This window comes from Homo sapiens, chromosome 10 (assembly GCF_000001405.40).
Source record: "Homo sapiens chromosome 10, GRCh38.p14 Primary Assembly".
In the NCBI taxonomy this organism is placed as follows: Eukaryota; Metazoa; Chordata; class Mammalia; order Primates; family Hominidae; genus Homo; species Homo sapiens.
This window is the reverse complement of record NC_000010.11, coordinates 7,454,450-7,473,733: the sequence shown is the minus strand read 5'-3', so window position 1 is coordinate 7,473,733 and position 19,284 is coordinate 7,454,450. Positions and strand designations below refer to the sequence as shown.

The following is a 19,284-nucleotide window of genomic DNA, read 5'->3' as shown; positions in this document are numbered from 1 at the left end:
GTGTTTTCAAGGTTCATTCATGTCATAACATGTCTCAACACTTCATTCCTTTTTAATGGCTGAATAATACTCCATTGTTTGAATATACCACATTTTGTTTATCCATTCATCATTTAATGGCCATTTGAATTATTCCACTTTTTTTGTCTATAATGAATAATGCTGCTGCTATGAGCAGCTTTTGTGGCATTCCATATGTTTTTGTATGTTGTATTTTCATTTTCCTTCATCTGTAAGTATTTTCAAATTTCCCTTGTGATTTTTTTTCTTTGATTCATTGGTTATTAGGAATGTATTGTTTAATTCCACATATTTGGGATTTTCTCAACTCTCTCTGCTATTGATTTTGAATTTAATGTGAAACTTTTCACAGTTGTTGATTTTGTACAAACCTACCAAGAAGTAGACATTGTGGACAATTCCACGTGACCCCCATATTGACCACCGATAGTTTCTAAGTGCTTTATGAACTTGCAGACTTGTGTTTTATTCTTCTTTCTTTTCTTTTTCTTTTTAAGAAACATATGATGCAGATACATGGGTGGGCTTATTAGTTCCTTATTTGTGTTAGAATAATGACCATCCCCAAAAGATGTCCATATCCCAGGGCCTGGAACCTGTGAATCTGTTACCTTAGATGGCAAAGGGACTTTGCAGATGTGATTGAGTTAAGGAACTTGATATGGGGAGGTTATCCCAGATTATTCAGTGGGACCCAGTGTAATCACAAGGGTCCTGATAAGAGACTGGCAGGACAGTCAGGGTGAGAAAGGAGATGCAGAGGCAAAATCAGAGGCTGTAGTGACGAGCTCTGAGGATGGAGGAGGGGGCTACCAGCTAACGAACGTAGGCGGCCTTTAGAAGCTGCAAAAGGTAAAGAAATAGCTTCTCCTTTAGAGCCTCAAGAAGGAATGAAGCTCTGCCAACAGTTTGATTTTAGCCCCAAACTCTGATCTTCAAAATTGTAAGTAAATAAATTTGTGTTATTTTAAAAGCCGCTAAATTTCTGGTAATGTGACAATAGAAAACAAATACACCAAGGAATGAATGATTTCATTTTGCAGTTTTTTTTATAATTCTAGCAGTTTGGCAAAAGAGAGTAAGGGCTAAACACCTGGCTTATGGAGTCAGATGACCTGAATCCAAACTCTGGTGAGAAGCTCTATGAATTGGGCATATTACTTAACTTGCTTAGGTTTCAATGTACATTTTTGGAAAAATGAATCCATCTCGTAAGATTGTTGTAAGGATTAAATGAGTTACTGCAGTAATACTGGTACAACAGTGTCTGGCTCACAGTAAACACTCAACAAATTTTAGTTGATTTATAGAACATGTTGTTGCACATTTCAGCAAATACTAGAGCTAGGAAGTAGAATTGTGTTGAGAATTCTGCATTGCTGTGTCCGGATTGCTGCTGTCACAGCCATATTAATTGCTTACAAATCAGAGAATGAGCATTCTGAGCAGCACGTGGTCCCAGGCTGTAGGTGTCTGCAGCGCTCAGGAAAAGCCCCGATGCTCCCCAGCAGCTGCACCTGCTCCCTTGGGAAGGAGTCTCTTTTTTGTTCCTCTTTCAGTTTCTGAAGAGAACAGAACATTTGCGCCATCTGGTTTGGGTCGTTATTTTAACCCAGTTTCATTTCCGTTTATAAAGGTATTAAATACTCCAGGCTATATTTGAAACAGTTTCAGGATCAGCATGACTGTAGTGTTCCTGGCTTAACCCTGAGAGGTTGCTGTTCCCAGTGACTATCTAGGCTGAAGCCCATGTAGGATTTGAAGAGACTGATCCAGGCTTTATGAGTGGCTGCGACCATGCTGTATGTGTGTATGTGTGTGTGTACACCGCCTAAGTGTGTTCATTTCAGCCACAGCAAGAGTTATGTTACAAGGATAGCATAGACAGCCCTGCCTATTGCAAGAGTAATGCATCAGGTGTGAAACAGATCTTTAATGCTGTGTGAAGCAGGCTCTTTTAAGGTCAGCCAGACTTTCTGGGGAAAAAGAAACTATTGCCTAACCCTTCAGGTCATGGAGACTTATGTTTTTGTGTTTTTCTCGCAGTTTTACAGTTTTAGCACCTACATTTAAGTCTTTGATCCCTTTTGTGTTCATTTTTATGGATAGTGAGAAGTAGGGGTTCAAATCCATTTTTTTTTTCATCTAGATATTCAGTTGTCCCAGAATCATTTGTTGAAAAAGCTCTTCTTTCCCCCATTGAATTGTCTTAGCACATTTTTCAAACATTACCCAACCACAAATGTAAGGATTTATTTTTGGACACTCAGTTCTATTTAACTGATCTAAATCTCTATCCTTATGGAAGTACCACTCTGTCTTGATTATTGTAGCTTTGTAGCAAGTTTTAAAATTGGGAAGTGTGAGTCTTCTCACTTTGTTCTTCTTCTTTCAAAGTTGTATTTGTTATTTTGGGCCCTTTGCATTTCTATGTGAATTTTGGGATCAGCTTGTCCGTTTTTGCAAAAAGAAAAAAAAGGCAGTCAGGATTTTGATAGAGATTGTGTTGAATCTGTAGACTGATTTGGGGAAAATTGCCATCATCACAGTATTAATTCTTCTGGTCTATGAATGCAGGATTTCTTTCCACTTATTTAGGTCATCTTTAATATATCTGAACACTGTTCTGCAGTTTTTAGTGCACAGTTTTGTATTTCTTTTGTTAAATTCTCCTAAGTATATTTTATGCTACTGTAAATGGAATTGTTTTCTTATTTTAATTTTCAGGGGAAAGTAAGAAAATGGTCGGTCATCACCTTCAGTCATCATCTCAGATAGTGGGATCATGCTTGACTTTCCTTTAAGTTTTCTTTTTAAAACTGCATTCTTCTTTTTTCCTTTTTTTTTTTTTTTTTGAGTCGCACAGGCTGGAGTTCATTGCTAGTGTGTAGAAATACAGTTGATTTTTGTATATTGATTTTGCACCCTGTAACCTTGCTGAACTCATTTGTTAGCTTTCTGTGGATTCTTCAGGATTTTCTGTACTCAAATTCATGTCACCTGTGAATAGATGATTTTACTTCCTTTCCGATCTGGATGCCTTTTCTTTCTTTTCCTTGCCTAATTACCCTGGCCAAACCCTCCAGTGCAAGATTCAGTAGAAGTCGTGAGAGCAGATATGCTTCTCTGGTTCCTGATGTTGGGGGGAGGCATTTCATCTTTTACCTTTAAGGATGTTTGTTGTGGGTTTTTGCTTGATGCCTTTTAACTGTAATCAGGTTGTGGAAATTCCCTTGTATTCCCAGTCTGTTGAGTGTTTTTATCATGAAAGGGTGTTGGATTTTGTCAAATGCTCTTTTCTGCATCTCTTGAAATGGTCATGTGGTTTTTGTTCTTTATTAATATACAGATAAGTGTATTACCTTGATTAATTTTCATATCCAAAGCAGCCTAGCGTTCCTCCTGAGAACTTCCATGTCTCAAGTACAACTTTCATTTTACAATGACCCCCCTTGCTGTTGGGGCCACACCACCTTACAACTTGCCCAGCTCAGGATGGCAATTCTGACTGCATGATCGCTTGATATGTCTTGACCAGATGCTCGGTTCTGACCAGAGCTCGGTAGCACACCTGGGGTGCTTTGTGGATGATGTGTGGTTCTTTGCGGGAGCTTGCATGGCCTTGTTGTAGAACTCTAAGGGTTTTCATAGTGACTCTCCTACAGGGGCTTGTCAGAAAGTCCATATGGTTCCTTTTTGGACCACAGATAACTCTAGGGCTGTGAGATCTGCTAGGTATTGGGGTGCAGGCATCGGGGCTGTTTGTACTGCAGCCTGGACTTGCTACAGAATCCATTAACTAACTGCTCACCCCAGTCAGAGCCATCAGCTTTCCGTGTCTCTAGGTAAACAGATTCAAGCAGTGTGACAAGCATGGAATATGCTGCTTTCCATAGACCTGTCAAGCATTGCGTTTTGTTCTTAATGGTACAATGTACAAAATGCAGTGTCTTGTTCTTTATTTTTGAGAGGATGCTGTATCATGTCTCAGACGACTGGATTCCTAAAAACTCCCCAAATGAAGCAGGTACCTGAATCTTTAAGGGTTTATCTCACATTTCCTGTAATGTAAGTTTCTCACTACAGTACTCGGATCACTTACCACTGCTTTCTCATTAGGTCCAATTAGTATGGTGTCACCAATATATGGATCCATGCGATTGATTATCTGTGGAGTGTCCGGATGGTCCAGGACCCTTCAGATTATATTACGATGGAGAACAGGAAAATTAACCAAAACCTGGGCAAGACTGCGAATGTGTGCTACTATCCATCCCAGGTGAATGTGAACTTCTTTGGATTCCCTTTATTGATGGGTATGAAAAGAAGTACGTTGGTCATGTTAATAGCTGTGTACCACGTGCCCAGGGCTGTGTAATCTGCTCTAATAAACATACCACATCTGGCACAGCAGCTGCCACTGAAGTTACAACCTGGTTAAGTTTGTAGGGATAGCCCACTGACCTCTCTCTTTATCCATCTGGCTTTTGCAGAGGTCTGCCTGGTGGATTAGATGGGAATGTGCTAGAAACCTTTGGTGTTGCACCATCCCCCCGACATCTTAAGGATGGCACTAATCCATGCCATTCCCCCTGGGATGTGTTTTTGGATTCCAGGAGTGCTGATCATGCATTCTTGGTATTCTCCTTCTCATCTAAAAATATACCCCCTGAGAATCTGAGCAGAACCAGACATTCTGTCTCCCATGAAGGAGGATGCAGACACTTTCCCCTTTTCCTTTTTGTAGAGATCACATGTGATTTTGATAGCACTTTGCCTTTTTAAATAGCACCAGCTTCGGTCATCGTCTCGGTGGCACCATGCTTGACTTTCCTTTAAGTTTTCTTTTTAAATCTGCATATTTTTTTTTTGAGATGGAGTCTTGCTCTGTTGCCCAGGCTGGCATGCAATGGCACGATCTTGGCTCACTGTAACCTCCGCCTCCCAGATTCAAGTGATTCTCCTGCCTCAACCTCCTGAATAGCTGGAATTACAGACGCCCACCATGGCTGGCTGATCTTTGTGTTTTTAGTAGAGATGGGGTTTCACCATGTTGGTTCAGGCTGGTCTCGAACTTCTGACCTCAGGTGATACACCTGCCTTGGCCTCCCGAAGTGTTGGAATTGCAGGCGTGAGTCACTGCGCCCACCCTAAATCTGCATTCTTAATATACTATCTGCACACACCTAACCATGTTCAATATTGGCCTTATTATTTTGATATCATAGCCCCATTCTGGGAAGTTTCTTGTTACTTCAACCTCATCCCAGTGGTTCTTTAATGGTCAGAAAATATGATATGATAAAAATATGAAAAACATCATAAAATCAAAACTCATTTCTTCAAAGTAAGTAATACATTTTTAAAATCTGTATTTTAAAAAATTCTGTTTTAAGGCAATAAACATGTGTGTTGGGCTATGCCAGGCCTGTCACATACCCGATGACATAGTGTTGACTAGGCACCTGTGGCATAGCCAGGACTTGCCTAATGGCAGTGCCCTGTGGATCCTATCTCCTAAGCCTTTGCCCTGATTGTTTGCCCATTTGGTGGTAAAATTAAGTGAAAGCAACATAAATTAGTCTAGGCTTTCTTCTTGCCAGTCTTCAAAACCTGGACCAGTCTTGATGGACTGGCTTAGCTCAATAGAAAAAGATTCTTGACTTCACAGATAGAAATGGAAATTTAAAAAGCAATGAGATACCTATTTATGCCCAATGGACTGGCAATAATTTAAAAGTCTGTTAATACCTATTGTTGTCAGGGAATTAGGAGAACGCTTATATGCTACTGCTCTTCAGAGAACAATTGAAACACCTATTCAAGTTAGAGACCTACGTACCCTGCAAACCGACTGCTCCATTCCCAGGTACATGTTCTAGGGAAATCTTTGCATTTAGACCAGACAACATGTACAAGAATTTTTTTTTATGTACAAGAATTTTTATAGCAGCAGGGCTTTTTCTTTTTTTTGAAATAATGATAAATTGGAAAAAAAAACCTTGGAAATCTGTTAACCTGTTCGTGTAAGAAAGTGAATTAACTATAACTACATGTATCAATATGGAAAGGCCTCAAAATCATAATGTTGAGTAAAAAAGGAAAGACTCAGATAACTTTATTCCTTCCCTGTAACAACTTGCCACACATTTGGTGGCTTAAAATAACCAATTTATTCTCTCACAGTTCTGGAGGCCGGAGTTGGAAATCAGTTTCACTGGGCACACATGGAGGTGTTTGAAGGGCTGCCCGTGCCAGAGGCTCTCAGGGAGAATCCCTTCCTTGTCTGTTCCAGCTCTACCTCCTCCTCTGCTGTGTGAGTAAAACCTCCCTCGGCCTCTTTGATTAGGATAAGGTGTATTTAGTGTCTAGCAGGACAATCCAGGAAATTCTTCCCATCTCAAGATCCCTAACTTGATCCCTTCTGCAAAGACCTGCTTTCACTCCCATCTGCAAACACCATTTCCGGGTTCCAGGGATAAGCCCTGACATCTGTGGGTGGCCGTTATTCAGTTACCGACAGTGTGGCATGATGAAAATGAAGTGTTAAAACAAGGACTGCAGTATTGTTTATTCCAGCAAATGGTGAGTGGTCCATCCTTCTCCAAGCCCTTTCTCTTCTTCTTCTCATGGTCTCTGGCATCTGGGAGAGTCCACGTGGCCTGGGTTGGGCTAACAGATACCAGCAGAAGTGATGCGTACAACTTCCGGCAACCTAGGTGCACTTGTCTCGCCCTCCCTGGGAGCAGATCCATCCTCAAACCTGCAGACAAGGATAATGCTGTAGTGGGTACTGAGAAAAAAAAAAAAAAAAAAAAGAAGGAACCTAAAGGAAATGTTGGAGCAGAAATACATTTCTATCTTATTCAAGCTGGTATATTTTGGACTTCTGTTGCTACAACAGTTTCATCTTTATCCTAACGAATACCCATACATGTATTAGTAAAAATATAAAGGTGTCCAGGGAATAATGTCAGACTGAGGAGAATGGGGCTTGGGGGAAGACGGGTGGCAAGAGGATGTGTAAGGAATACACAGTTGTATCTGCAAAATGTTTTCACTCTTAAGTTCAGTGGCAAACTAACGGATGTTCTTTATATTATTCTCTATGCTTTTTTCAATATCTGATTTATTTTGCTTTAAAAATCTATACTAATAGTGGATGAGAAAATAAATGTCATAGAAGGGGTAAATGATAACAAATTATTTGGATAAATCACAGATAAAAGGCTGTTTGACTGCACTGAGCTTTTTCTGGAACACTGCTTGCTTCATAGGACGATAATAAGAATGAATCATGTGTATTAGATTTCTTCCCAGGGTGATCAAGGGTGAGAATTTGCCCTGCGGGGAATAATGTGCTCTAAATCCATATATTTCCTATACTTTTAGATACAAAGACAAAGAAACAGGCAAAGAAACATCTCTGACATCAAGATCAGGAAGTCACAGAGAGTACTTGAGTACACATTCAGAAGTTTCAAGGATTTTCTGTTCGTTTATTAAACCTTAACATTTGCTGTACAAGTTTTCAACAGGCCAAGGTTAAGTGAAGAATGAAAATAATGTTTAACTCCATTACAAAAGAGGAGGCTTTTGATACAGACTTCATAATGTTCTTTGAGGAAGCAGGTATATGAGGTTTGTACATTGAATGGATGTTCTAGATTGAGCAAAATACCCTCTATGCACTCTCCTGCAGAGAGTGTGGGTGAAATAGAAATGTATTTCTGGATAGAAAGAGCAATGTATCACATGCATTCTGAAGAAGTCTAGCTGAGCAAAACCTTAAGATTTCCTGTTGTTGCTGGACCGTAGACATCAATATGACCGCTTAGCATAAAGATAAAGGTACCTCAGGGCCCAAGAATAAAAATTCCATCGAGCACAACTCAGCGCTCTGAAAATCTAGATTTCCCTAATCCCAGAGGGTGAGAGCCAAGGAGGAGCTCGTCCTGCCCATTCCTGCCTTCCTCTATCCCTGGCACTCACACCACAAGTTTGCTCTACTCTTAAACAAAAGCACCTGTGTTTTAAAATTTTCATTTTAAGTTCTGGGGTACATGTGTAGGACATGCAGGTTTGTTACATAGGTAAACTTGTGCCATGGTGGTTTGCTGCACCCATCAACCCATCACCTAGGTATTAAACCGCACATGCATTAGCCATTTGTCCTAATGCTCTCCCTCCTGCCAACCCCCCACCCCCGACAGGTCCCAGTGTGTGTTGTTCCCCTCCCTGTGTCCATGTGTTCTTACTGTTCAGCTCCCACTTATGAGTGAGAACATGCAGTGTTTGGTTTTCTGTTCCTGTGTTAGTTTGCTGAGGGTGATGCCTTCCAGCTCCATCCATGTTCCTGCAAAGGACATGATCTCATTCTTTTTTATGGCTGCATAGTATTCCATGGTATATATGCATCACATTTTCTTTATTCATTCTATCATTGATGGGCATTTGGGTTGGTTCCATGTCTTTGCTATAGTGAAGAGTGCTACAATGAACATACACCTATTTTTTTTTAACCCACATTATTTATAGTCTTGTTTTCAGTATTTTGGTAGGCAGTGCCTGGTCTGCTCCTCTCCTCCCTTCTCTGAGTTGCCCTTTTCCTCAATTCTCTTTTACCAACTTTCCTTTTGCGATCGTCTCTACTCTCCTTTTCTCTATACTTCCCCTTCTTTTTCTCTTGGCCTCGACTTCTGAATCCTGTGACAATGGCGTGGGGGGTTTGGTGGAGAGAGGGGAACTAAAAGTGGAAATGAGACACTGGGGAATAATCACAAGAAAGGAAACAAGACTTCCCAACTCTCCCCGGCTGTGAGCCCCACGACATGGTTTCCACATGAGCCTTCTCCCCACTTTTGGCTGCCTCCCTGACACGTTTCCAAGGAGACCTTTCCAAGTCAAGGCCGCAGCTCCCAAAGTATTGAAGCACAAACCCAGCCCACTTCCAATAAATCATCCTCTACATACAGTTGTCTGGTTTGTATCAGAATGTCCTTGGGATTCCTGTAATGCTTGTCTCCAGAGTCACTTAGCCAGCATTTTGGCTAGTTTTTGTTTTTGTTTTTTTTTTTCTGATACTCTGGTTGCATAAAGTTAAACAGGGTTTGCAAAATGTAATTTCATTATATGAACAACAAGTTCTATACACTGATGAATAACTTGGTTTTATGTGGGCACTTAATTCCCAGTCTAGTGCTAAGTCTTTATCTTAATTTTAACTTTTAAGGCAAACAATGCAAGGCATCATCTTTTGAGTGGGAAAGAGGAAAAGCATTTTAATGAATGAGTTCTTGGTTGGGCGCAGTGGCTCACTCCTGTAATCCCAGCACTTTTGGAGACTGAGGCAGGAGGATCGCTTGAGCTCGGGAGTTCAAGACCAGCCTGGGAAACATGGTGAAACCCCGCCTCTACACAAAAATTAAAAAATTAGCCGGGGAGGGGGATTGATTGTGTGCATTTGCAGCTGAGCTGCAGTGAGTCCCAGCTACTCGGGAGGCTGAGGGGGGAAGATTGTTTGAGCCTAGGAGGGTGAGGCTGCAGTGACTTATGATCCTGCCACTGCACTCCAGCCTGGGCAATAGAGTGAGACTCTCCAAAAAAAGAAAAATAGAATGAATAATGAATGAGTTCTTGAAAGGAGAGATGTAGCTGGGCACAGTGGCTCACATGCTTGTAATCCCAGCACTTTGGGAGGATAAAGCATGTGCATCACCTGAGGTCAGGCATGGTGGCGGGTGCCTGTAATCCCAGCTACTTGGGAGGCTGAGGCAGGAGAATTGCTTGAACCCAGGAGGCTGAGGTTGCAGTGAGCCGAGATCACACCACTGCACTCCGGCCTGGGTTACAAGAGTGAAACTCTGCCAAAAAGAAAGAAAGAAAGAGAGAGACAGAGACAGAGAGAGAGAGAAAAGAAGGAAGGAAGGAAGGAAGGAAGGAAGGAAGGAAGGTAGGAAGGAAGGGAGAGAGAGAGAGAAAGAAAGAAAGGAGAGATGTGAAAAATATGTTTAAGAATTTCTCATACATTCATGTCTGAAAGGAATCATTTTATTCATCCCTCTTTCATGGATGAAGACATTGAGGCCCAGGTGTGGTAAAATTTGCCCGAAGTAGCCCGTGAGTCCGTGAGATGTCCTGCTCCCATCTGGAGAGGAGGAGACACGCACAGCCGTCTCCACCACAAGCCGGATTCCAGACACTGATCCTGCCACCACCACCCCAGTCTTCTGTCTGTCCCTCTCAGCATGGCAGTCATGTACCCTGGCACAATTTCTGTGAAAATCCCCTAAACCAAGCTTGTCTAACCTGTGACCCACAGGCCGCATGCAGCCCAGGATGGCTTTGAATGCAGCTGAACACACATTTGTAAACTTTCCTAAAACATGAATTTTTTCGCATTTATTTTTTCTTATCGGCTTTCATTAGTGTTAGTGTATTTTGAGTGTGACCCAAGACAATTCTTCTTCTTCCAATGTGGCCAGGGAAGCCAAAAGATTGGACACCCCTGCCCTAACCCCACAAGGTACCAGGGCACCCCGTACTTAGTGCCTTCTAATGCCTATGGCCCACGTGGTACTTTGGGGCTGTTTACTTGCCAGCCTCACACTCTGAACTGTGAATTCTTTGTGGACAGGGTTTTTCTTTCGCTTGAATTGCATGATGTAGGGCTCCCCATAGGGCCTGGCACCTCACAGATGCTGACTATATATTTGTTGAAGGCTTGGATCCAGGTTCTCTGACCTCCCAGAGCAGGGCCCTTGCCTTTATGCCAGGAACCTGCAAAACAGTGCCCTTTTATTGCAGATAGTGCTTTCTTTCTCCTGGGTGGTTTCGTAGGCAAAGAGATATATTGTCTGTTTTAGAGCTTTAGCCTTGCCTCAGTAGAGATAAAAACTCCACTATGACTCTGCTGTGGCTACGGGCAGCTTAGAGAATGTTGGAACTTCAGGCAGAGGGCTCCGGGCAGCTGAATGTTACATGGTGTTCACATACTACATACTACATGCTACATATTCCATGCTACTACTTAAATAACTTAAAAATGTTATTCTAGGTCGGGCATGGTGGCTCACGCCTGTAATGCCAGCATTTTGGGAGGCCAAGGCAGGCGGATCACCTGAGGTCAGGAGTTCGAGACCAGCCTGGACAACATGATGAAACCCCGTCTCTACTAAAAATACAAAATTACCTAGGAGTGGTGGAGGGCTCCTGTAATCCCAGCTACCTGGGAGGCTGAGGCAGGAGAATCGCTTGAACCTGGGAGGCGGAGGTTGCAGTGAGCCGAGACGGTGCCATTGCACTCCAGCCTGGGCAACAAGAGTGAAACTCTGTCTCAAAAAAAAAAATGTTATTCTACTTGGTAGGACACTGGAAATCGTCTGATATTTTCTGGCATTCTGGCATTTTATCTATGTCAGCTACTTATCCTAAATTATGATGTCAATGGAATAATTTTTGATGAAATTTATTTATTTTTTTATGAGACAGCGTCTTGCTCTGTCACTGAGACTGGAGTGCAGTGGCACAATCTTGGCTCACTGCGACCTCCGCCTCTCAGGTTCAAGCAATTCTCCTGCCTCAGCCTCCTGAGTAGCTGGGACTACAGGCATGCACCACCACGCCCAGCTAATATTTGTATTTTTAGTAGAGATGGGGTTTCACCATGTTGGCCAGGATGATCTCAATCTCTTGAACTCGTGATCCACCCTCCTCGGTCTCCCAAAGTGCTGGGATTACAGGCGTGAGCCACCACAACCGGCTGGTGAAATGTATTATTAAAGTGGCTTCTTATCCTTCCTAGTTTTTAAATGTCTCTGTGTAGTATTTTACTGTGTTTAGGTTCCTCAAAACATTTTAGAACCTGACAATTCCTCCGCAATTATCTAAGCTTCCTGTATGCAGGAGGAAACTGAGGCACGGGACGCTTCAGGGTCGGCTGTGTCTGTGCCCACTGGCCCAGCCCGCCTGCTGTCTGTTCTGCCTCCTGCCTCTGCTCTCCCCAGCACCGACACTGCTGGCCATGTGTCAGTCAACCTGGGACTCTGCGTTCTAATTATTGCAAATTAGTAATCTACATGGAATGCCACGCCTAACTATATCAATGTTATCAATGTGTTCTATGTGTAATTATTAAGAACGTCTCATTTTTTCCTTCCTCCCTCCCTCCCTCCCTCCCTCCCTCCCTCCCTCCCTCCCTCCCTCCCTTCCTTCCTTCCTTCCTTCCTTCCTTCCTCCCTCCCTTCCTCCCTCCCTCCCTTTTTGAGACTGGGTCTCTCTCTGTCACCCAGCCTGGAGTGCAATGGCTTGATCATAACTCACTGTAACCTCGAGCTCTTGGGCTCAAGTGATTCTCCCACCTTGGTCTCCCAAGTAGCTGGGACTACAAGTGTGCACTGCCACACTGGGCTAATATTTTTTACTTTGTCGTGGAGACAGAGTCTCGCCATGTTACCCATCCTGCTGGGCTCAAGGGAGCCTCTCGTCTCGGCCTCCTAAAGTGCTGGGTTTACAGGCATGAGGCACCACACTCAGCCGGAATATGTTATTTTCCGTCTGGCTTAGGTAAGACAGTAATTACTTATTTTGCTGTTTGTTTTTTCAGGGCTGTAGTACTGGGCTACCTTTATTCCAAAAACAATAAAAAGGCAACTATGACAATACAGCAATCCATGGCTTATTCTCTTCAATGTAACTGACTGTGAATGAGTCTCCACCACATTCAATGCGCTGTGATGGCTCCTTAGAGCTACAGAAGTGGCTGGAAGGGGATTTTATTGTTGACAAAGCGGCTAATCAGCTCTCTTTGCCCTTCCCCACGGTACTACCATTCAGCTCATGGCATGAAGCTAATTTTTCCAAAACAAAATGAAAGATACCACCTAAAAGTGAGAGGACGTATTGTAGTAGAGGAAGGGCTGGCTGGGCACCTATCATCTATGCCCCCCAGCCTGGAGGGGTGTTTAAGGTTTGAAACGTGCCACACTCATGGAATACTGCACTTGCAGCCGGTTCACCGAAGCCAAGTTTTCCCACTTGTCCTTGAAGTTAAAATTCAATGAAAGCATTCTCGTTGTATCAGAGTCACATTTTCTTTTTTCTTTTCTTTTATATATATATATTATATATATATATAAAATATATATATATTTTATTATTATACTTTAAGTTCTAGGGTACATGTGCACAACGTGCAGATTTGTTACATATGTATACATGTGCCATGTTGGTGTGCTGCACCCATTAACTCGTCATTTACATTAGGTATTTCTCCTAATGCTCTCCCTCCCCCATCTCCCCACCCCACAACAGGCCCTGGTGTGTGATGTTCCCCTTCCTGTGTCCAAGTGTTCTCATTGTTCAATTCCCACATGGATGAAGCTGGAAACCATCATTCTCAGCAAACTATCGCAAGGACAAAAAACCAGAGTCACATTTTCAGTGGGGAGCCAGCTTAGCCAGGTGACGTCTGACGTCACCGAATAATCAAAATGGTGACAATTGCATTTAGCTGGTCACAGAGATAGATCCCTAAGGTTATGTCAATACCACTCCATGTTCTCAAAGCCCCCAAGAGGCAAGAATCTAAGTGAAATAAACCAGCAAGTCCTTGTCTGGACTTGCAGGAGAGAACTGAGGGGCTGCCTGAGGCTCTGTGTTCAGCGCCTCACCTCGGATGATCTTAGGATGGTGAGGGTCAGTGACACTGCAAGCCATGAGTCCTTTGGCAGTGGGTCCGTGGCCCTGCTGAATGGCAGGCGCATGGCCACCTTCCTGAAGATTGCAAATTGGAAACAGGGCGAGTCTCCACGATAACATCTAGGTTACAGCATTGTAAAATGTCCCCAATTATCTTGACAAATGGAAGTTGGTGTGAATGACTTATGAGGACACGATATTTTTGTAGAGAAGGGAGAGTTCCAGCAATAGGAACGAGCTGTGCCTTGCTCTTGGGAAACCCCACCCTGTTTTGGGGGCCTTAGGTTGCTATGAAATGGCAGGGTTTGATTGCTGTTGATAGCAGGAAAGTCTGACCCATGACTAAGGGAATAAAGTAGAGAAAACGCAATAAGCAGCCATCCCAGAAAACCAGTGCTCATAAAAGTGCTTGTTACTGGACACTGATTTTGGCTTCACATTGACTACAAGTGGACCTAAACCAGTCAGTAAAATGGTGTTAGCTGCTTTGTTGTTTCATGTATTTATTCGATACATATTTATTGAATGCATATTGTGTGAAGCGTTGTTCTAAACTCTGGCTATAACAAAGTAGAAAAAGGAAAATCCCTGATCTCACTGAGTTTGCTAAATAAATATAAATTCATTTTGACCTTTGCATATTTCTATGTGAGTCTAGCAAGTGGTCCTGGGATGGAATGAAGTACAACATGGATATGGCACATCAGTTTATATCCTGCAGACTCAAGGATTAGAGAACTCTCTAAAATATATCCGGAGTACCACTGAAAGCTACACATCTGTTTTTTTGGTAAATTCAAATCAAGTTACAATACTCTTTATACAATGTGATCTCATTTTGCTAACCTATATATACACAGAGGGGAAAAAAAGCACCCAAAGGCTGTACACTTAAATTTTTAAAGCTGCCATGGGATAATGGGGACATTTTATTTTTCTCTTTGGGTTTGTCTCTGTTTTCCAAGTTTAATATGCTGAATGGGCTTTGCTTTTAACCAGAAAACACTCTTTAAAGACTGTAGTTTTTGCTTATTAATTAAAAATGGTATTTAGCATTTGCAAATAATTTCAGGATTATTACTTATTCCTTGCCAGTTCCCTCAAATATTAGATAAGTAAGGTGACCCTGATTTGCTGGTTCATGTACTAGAACCATGAACAGAACTGGAATTCACAAGCTTAAAAATTTTAGGCTGCCCACGTGATTCATTCAACTGCATTCTTCCCATATGAGCAAAATGAATGCTAACTCCCTTCTGTGGGTTTGGCCTCTTGCAAAAGCAGGGCACTGTGCAAGGGTTGGGGTTTAAGTCATTTATTTGGGAAGTGATCCTGACAAGTACAGTGAAGGAGTGGGAAGGAAGGTGGGAAGGAAAGCAAGGAAGAGAGGGTTTCCACTCTGAGCCACTGGGCGCAGTCCTGCTGTGGAGCAAATATGCAGAGAGTATCTGACAATTGTCTCCCCGCAGCAGGGAAGCTGAGACATTATATATCCACCAACCTCCGTCCCTTGTTGGTTGGGGGCTGCTCCTATTAATTCCTTAGCATTTCCTGCATGTCCCATGTGCAGGATAAGCAATCTGCTGTGGTCAGAGAAAGACCTATGGTATATAAGAATTTGACATCATAATAGAAATAGGCATCTATCCAAAGCCTCATTTATTTCAGAAAAAAAGAAAAAAAAAAAACAACACGGAGTGATGATTGCCTATCAGGTACATGAAACCGTGAACCATGACCATGTTAAATGGAGAACCCTACCACAGGGAGAGACCCAGTCCTTGAGAAGGGCCTTCAGCCGCACACTGAAGCTGCAGGAGACCTGTCAGGCGAACTAAGGAGACACGAGTTAGAGACGCTGCTGTAACAAATACGTCTAAAGGCTGGGTGAAGTGGCTCACACCTGTAATGCCAGTGCTTTGGGAGACCGAGGTGAGCCGATCACTTGAGGTCAGGAGTTTGAGTCCAGTTGGCCAACATGGTGAAACCCCATCTCTACTAAAAATACAAAGATTAGCCTGGTGTGGTGGCAGGCGCCTGTAATCCCAGCTTCTCAGGAGGCTGAGGCAGAAGAATCACTTGAACCCGGGAGGCAGAGGTTGCAGTGAGCTGAGGTCGTGCCACTGTACTGCAGCCTGTGCAACAGAGCGAGACTCTGTCTCACAACAAAACAAACCTCTAAAGTTGCAGTGGCTTAACATCATCACAGTTTCTTTTTTGCTCTTATAAACTGTTTTTCAGGTCACGCAATTTTGCAAGACAGCTCTTCCTCAAATTTTGTCTGTGTTCTCCTATCTCAGGGCCCTCTGCTTCTTAGTCAGACAGGGAAAAGAGGTTGTGGAAGGATTTGGGTTTAAGTCATTTAAAGGATGGGGACACAGTGTGGGATATTGTGTGGCCCAGCCAGTAGTGAGGATGCCACGTAGACACATATTCCATTTCCCAAAGCTGATTCATGAGTCTGCAACTAACTGCACAGGAAGTCTGGCCTTCCCACATGCTCAGGGAGAGAAGGAAGTTGGGGATCCTGTAGCAGTACTCTGAGGGGCTCCCTGTTTCCTTGTCTGAATGCATGGAAGCTCTGGGAACATCTGGTACTTACTGGATACTATATTGTTTAGCAAATGAGTTTGAGGCCGGGCGCGGTGGCTCACGCCTGTAATCCCAGCACTTTGGGAGGCCGAGGTAGGCGGATCATGAGGTCAGGAGATCGAGACTATCGTGGCTAACATGGTGAAACCCCCCTCTACTAAAAATACAAAAAAATAGCCGGGCATGGTGGTGGGTGCCTATAGTCTCAGCTACTTGGGATGCTGAGGCAGGAGAATCGCTTGAACTCAGAGGCAGAGGTTGCTGTGAGCCGAGATAGCACCACTGCACTCCAGCCTGGGCGACAGAGCAAGGCTCCATCTCAAAAAAAAAAAAAAAAAAAAGTAAATAAATAAAAAGAGAGTTTGAGTTTTTTATGTAGCCGACTTCAGGTGCAAATGGTTCATATTGAGGCACACAGAAGAGACACCATGGTACACAGCAGCACTTGCTTCCGGCTGAGAATCAGAACAACCAAGACCAAATTCTGGACCCGCTCTCAACCGAATATGTGATTAGGCACACGATAGCCTCTTGATCTGAAAAATACTAAAGTCTCTTTTATCAGAGCCCACAATTGTTAAATATTTTTAAAAGAATATATATTTTTACATGTATATATACATACACAACATGCATGGCAGCGTAAGAAGCTACACGCATATAACAAGGCCAGGTGCAGTTAGAAATGGAACTAGGATGTGCACTTCTGAGCATTCTGTTGTCTTGTTGAACTCCTCTTTCTGTCTATCAATCTTTCCATTATCTTTCTCCCGCCTCGGAAAAGCAGTGCATTAGCGCCGTGGATCTCTGGCTGGCCAGGCAGGTGTGTGTCGTCAGGGGTGAGTGGGTGCTGGCAGCAGCTGTGGGTGAAATCCCATTCTAGGTAGACTGGGGTAGAGGAAACAACACAGGTCTTGTTGTGAAATCCAAAGAAATCGCAGTCCTGTAGTCAATCTTGTCTCACCCGCAGGCCATAAGCGTTTCTGAGTTCTACTCTTTCTAGGGCGAGAGGGGCTTTTGGCTGTTTAGTAGACACCGGAGACCAGTAAAGCGCATACCGATTAGAAGGCTGCATTTTCTAGCTAACAAAACAGCACACGGGGCCAAAGAACAGGGAAGTCTTGTTTCAGCAAGGTTGGCACAGTCAAAGAAGTAGAGTGAAGGACCATGATTTCAGGAAACTCAGCTGAAAGAATTGGAGATTGTTATAGAAACTGCTATCCATCCACAGCCTTATTTATTTCAGAAAAAAAGACTGGATGATGGTTTCCTATCAGGTACATAAAACAAAGGCCATGTTAAATGGTTTCGGTGACTTTTTTTATTCTTCCTTTACGTATTCATTTTTCTGAGATGTGCTGATTTACTGGTCACAGATCAGAATTTATGTTAGACATGGGGTCACCTCTCCTGGCTGCTTCTATCTGGTCAGAGGAAGCCTATTAGGTCCAGCCAGCCCTCAAGAAGGGCTGCCATGTGTTCACCTGGATTGTTCTGAGAAACTGTTGATAAAACAATGACCCATTGGACTCCTATCTCCAGAGACACTGTTTTCTGAATTAAAGCAATAATAGTGGAAACTAAGTTTCTATCTTTTAGGCATCGCAAATGACTGAAATATGCAATGATTTCCCATAACTAAACAAGAGGTCATGAGCTCCAATGAGGAATAAAAAGCTGAGATAGATGTAGCATGTGCTAAGTGCTCTTCTAGACATTTTACATACGTCAACTCATTATTTCTCCCAACTGCACTACAGGTAGGCACTATTATCGTTCCCATTTCATAGAAATGTAAACAGGTGAGACCAGGTAATTTTCCTGGAGGAACTACTTGATCTTCCTATATTAATAAATTGCCATTTCATGTTATTGCGTTGAAAAGAGCACTACCTAAAACAGAATGATGATTTTTTTTTTCACCAAAGCATTGAAAAGTTTGGAGTCATGAAATTTGATCAAAAGTATACAGAGACTCTAGTCAGATCACACTGGTTGATATACGGGAAGACTTTTTGTTTACTCTTTTAATCAACAAATATAATAATTATCTACCCTGTACTGGCATCTGAGCTGCAAGGATGAATATGCTTCAAGGAGCTGTTAGGCAGTGGGGAAAAAGAAGATCTGCAAATGTACCCTTATGGCTGGGTGTGGTGGCTCACACACCTGTTACCCCTGCACCCTGCATTTTGGGAGGCTAGTGGGGAAGATCGCCTGAGCCCAGGAGTTTGAGACCAGCCTGGGCAACATAGTGAGACTTCATCTCTATTATTTATTTACCGTGAAATAGAATAAAAGCTACACATAAAATATGTGGAAGTAGGGAAGGGCAAAGTGGAAGATTGATAGTAATAGCTGGGACTTATCACTTCTTCTGGGTTAATCCTTTCAACCCTTACAAAACCTCTATGATGCAGGTACTATGATTATCCCAACTTAAGACACAAGGAAACTGAGGTAGCGAGAGGTTCAATAGTAGGTCCAGGGCTCCCGGGAGAGGCAATCCACCGTGGCCCTGAGTGTCTCTTCCTCATCCTGCAGGTGTGCGTGCCTGATGGCCCTTTATCTGGGCTGTGTCTTGGGGCGGCAGCAAGCAGCCTTGAAGGATGAGGTAGCATTTTTCCTTCTGGACAAAGAGAAGCCTTTTTTTCACCTTAAAAAAATTTATTTTTATAGATTTGGGGATACATGTGCTGGTTTGTTACATGGATTTATTACATAATGCAAGATTTGAGTTTCTAGTGTACCCATCACCCAAATAGTGAACATTATACCCAATAGGTAATTTTTCAACCCTCATCCCCCCATCCTGCCCTCCACTCTTTTGGGTTCCTCAATGTCAATTATTTACCTCTGTGTATTCATGTGTACCCCTTGTTTTCCTCCTACTTGTAAGCGATAACATTCAATATTTGACTTTCTGATTCTGAGTTATTTCAATTAGAACAATGGCCTTCAACTCCATCCATA

At 42.8% G+C, this 19,284-nt stretch overlaps 1 long non-coding RNA gene across 20 annotated transcripts in view, besides 4 other annotated features; it reads left to right on the top strand.

Annotated features, from left to right (window-relative positions):
• Nucleotides 1–884: 884 nt before the first annotated feature.
• The window catches only part of LINC02642 (long intergenic non-protein coding RNA 2642), a 28,558-nt gene continuing 10,158 nt past the window's right edge, over nt 885–19,284 (top strand). Inside the window, exons 1-5 of one of the 20 annotated variants that reach the window (NR_184115.1) lie at nt 1,694–1,823; nt 3,993–4,048; nt 4,141–4,300; nt 6,208–6,337; nt 7,414–10,425. This is a non-coding gene — a long non-coding RNA (long intergenic non-protein coding RNA 2642). Of the gene's footprint in view, nt 965–1,693; nt 4,049–4,140; nt 4,338–5,785; nt 5,891–6,207; nt 7,211–7,413; nt 10,426–19,284 lie in introns of those variants that run through there. The other 19 variants (NR_184117.1, NR_184116.1, NR_184128.1 and 16 more) reach the window with 19 other exon arrangements.
• Nucleotides 1,437–1,536: an enhancer, noted in NCBI's record as "active region_2979". NCBI's record gives its function as "activates an Ori minimal core promoter by ATAC-STARR-seq in GM12878 lymphoblastoid cells {active_cell/tissue: GM12878}" and the evidence as "EXISTENCE:reporter gene assay evidence [ECO:0000049][PMID:35858748]".
• Nucleotides 1,547–1,746: an enhancer, noted in NCBI's record as "active region_2978". NCBI's record gives its function as "activates an Ori minimal core promoter by ATAC-STARR-seq in GM12878 lymphoblastoid cells {active_cell/tissue: GM12878}" and the evidence as "EXISTENCE:reporter gene assay evidence [ECO:0000049][PMID:35858748]".
• Nucleotides 14,883–15,447: an enhancer, noted in NCBI's record as "NANOG hESC enhancer chr10:7500249-7500813 (GRCh37/hg19 assembly coordinates)". NCBI's record gives its function as "activates a minimal SCP1, AML or CMV promoter by ChIP-STARR-seq in naive H9 embryonic stem cells {active_cell/tissue: H9 hESC(naive)}" and the evidence as "EXISTENCE:reporter gene assay evidence [ECO:0000049][PMID:30033119]".
• Nucleotides 16,127–16,176: an enhancer, noted in NCBI's record as "active region_2977". NCBI's record gives its function as "activates an Ori minimal core promoter by ATAC-STARR-seq in GM12878 lymphoblastoid cells {active_cell/tissue: GM12878}" and the evidence as "EXISTENCE:reporter gene assay evidence [ECO:0000049][PMID:35858748]".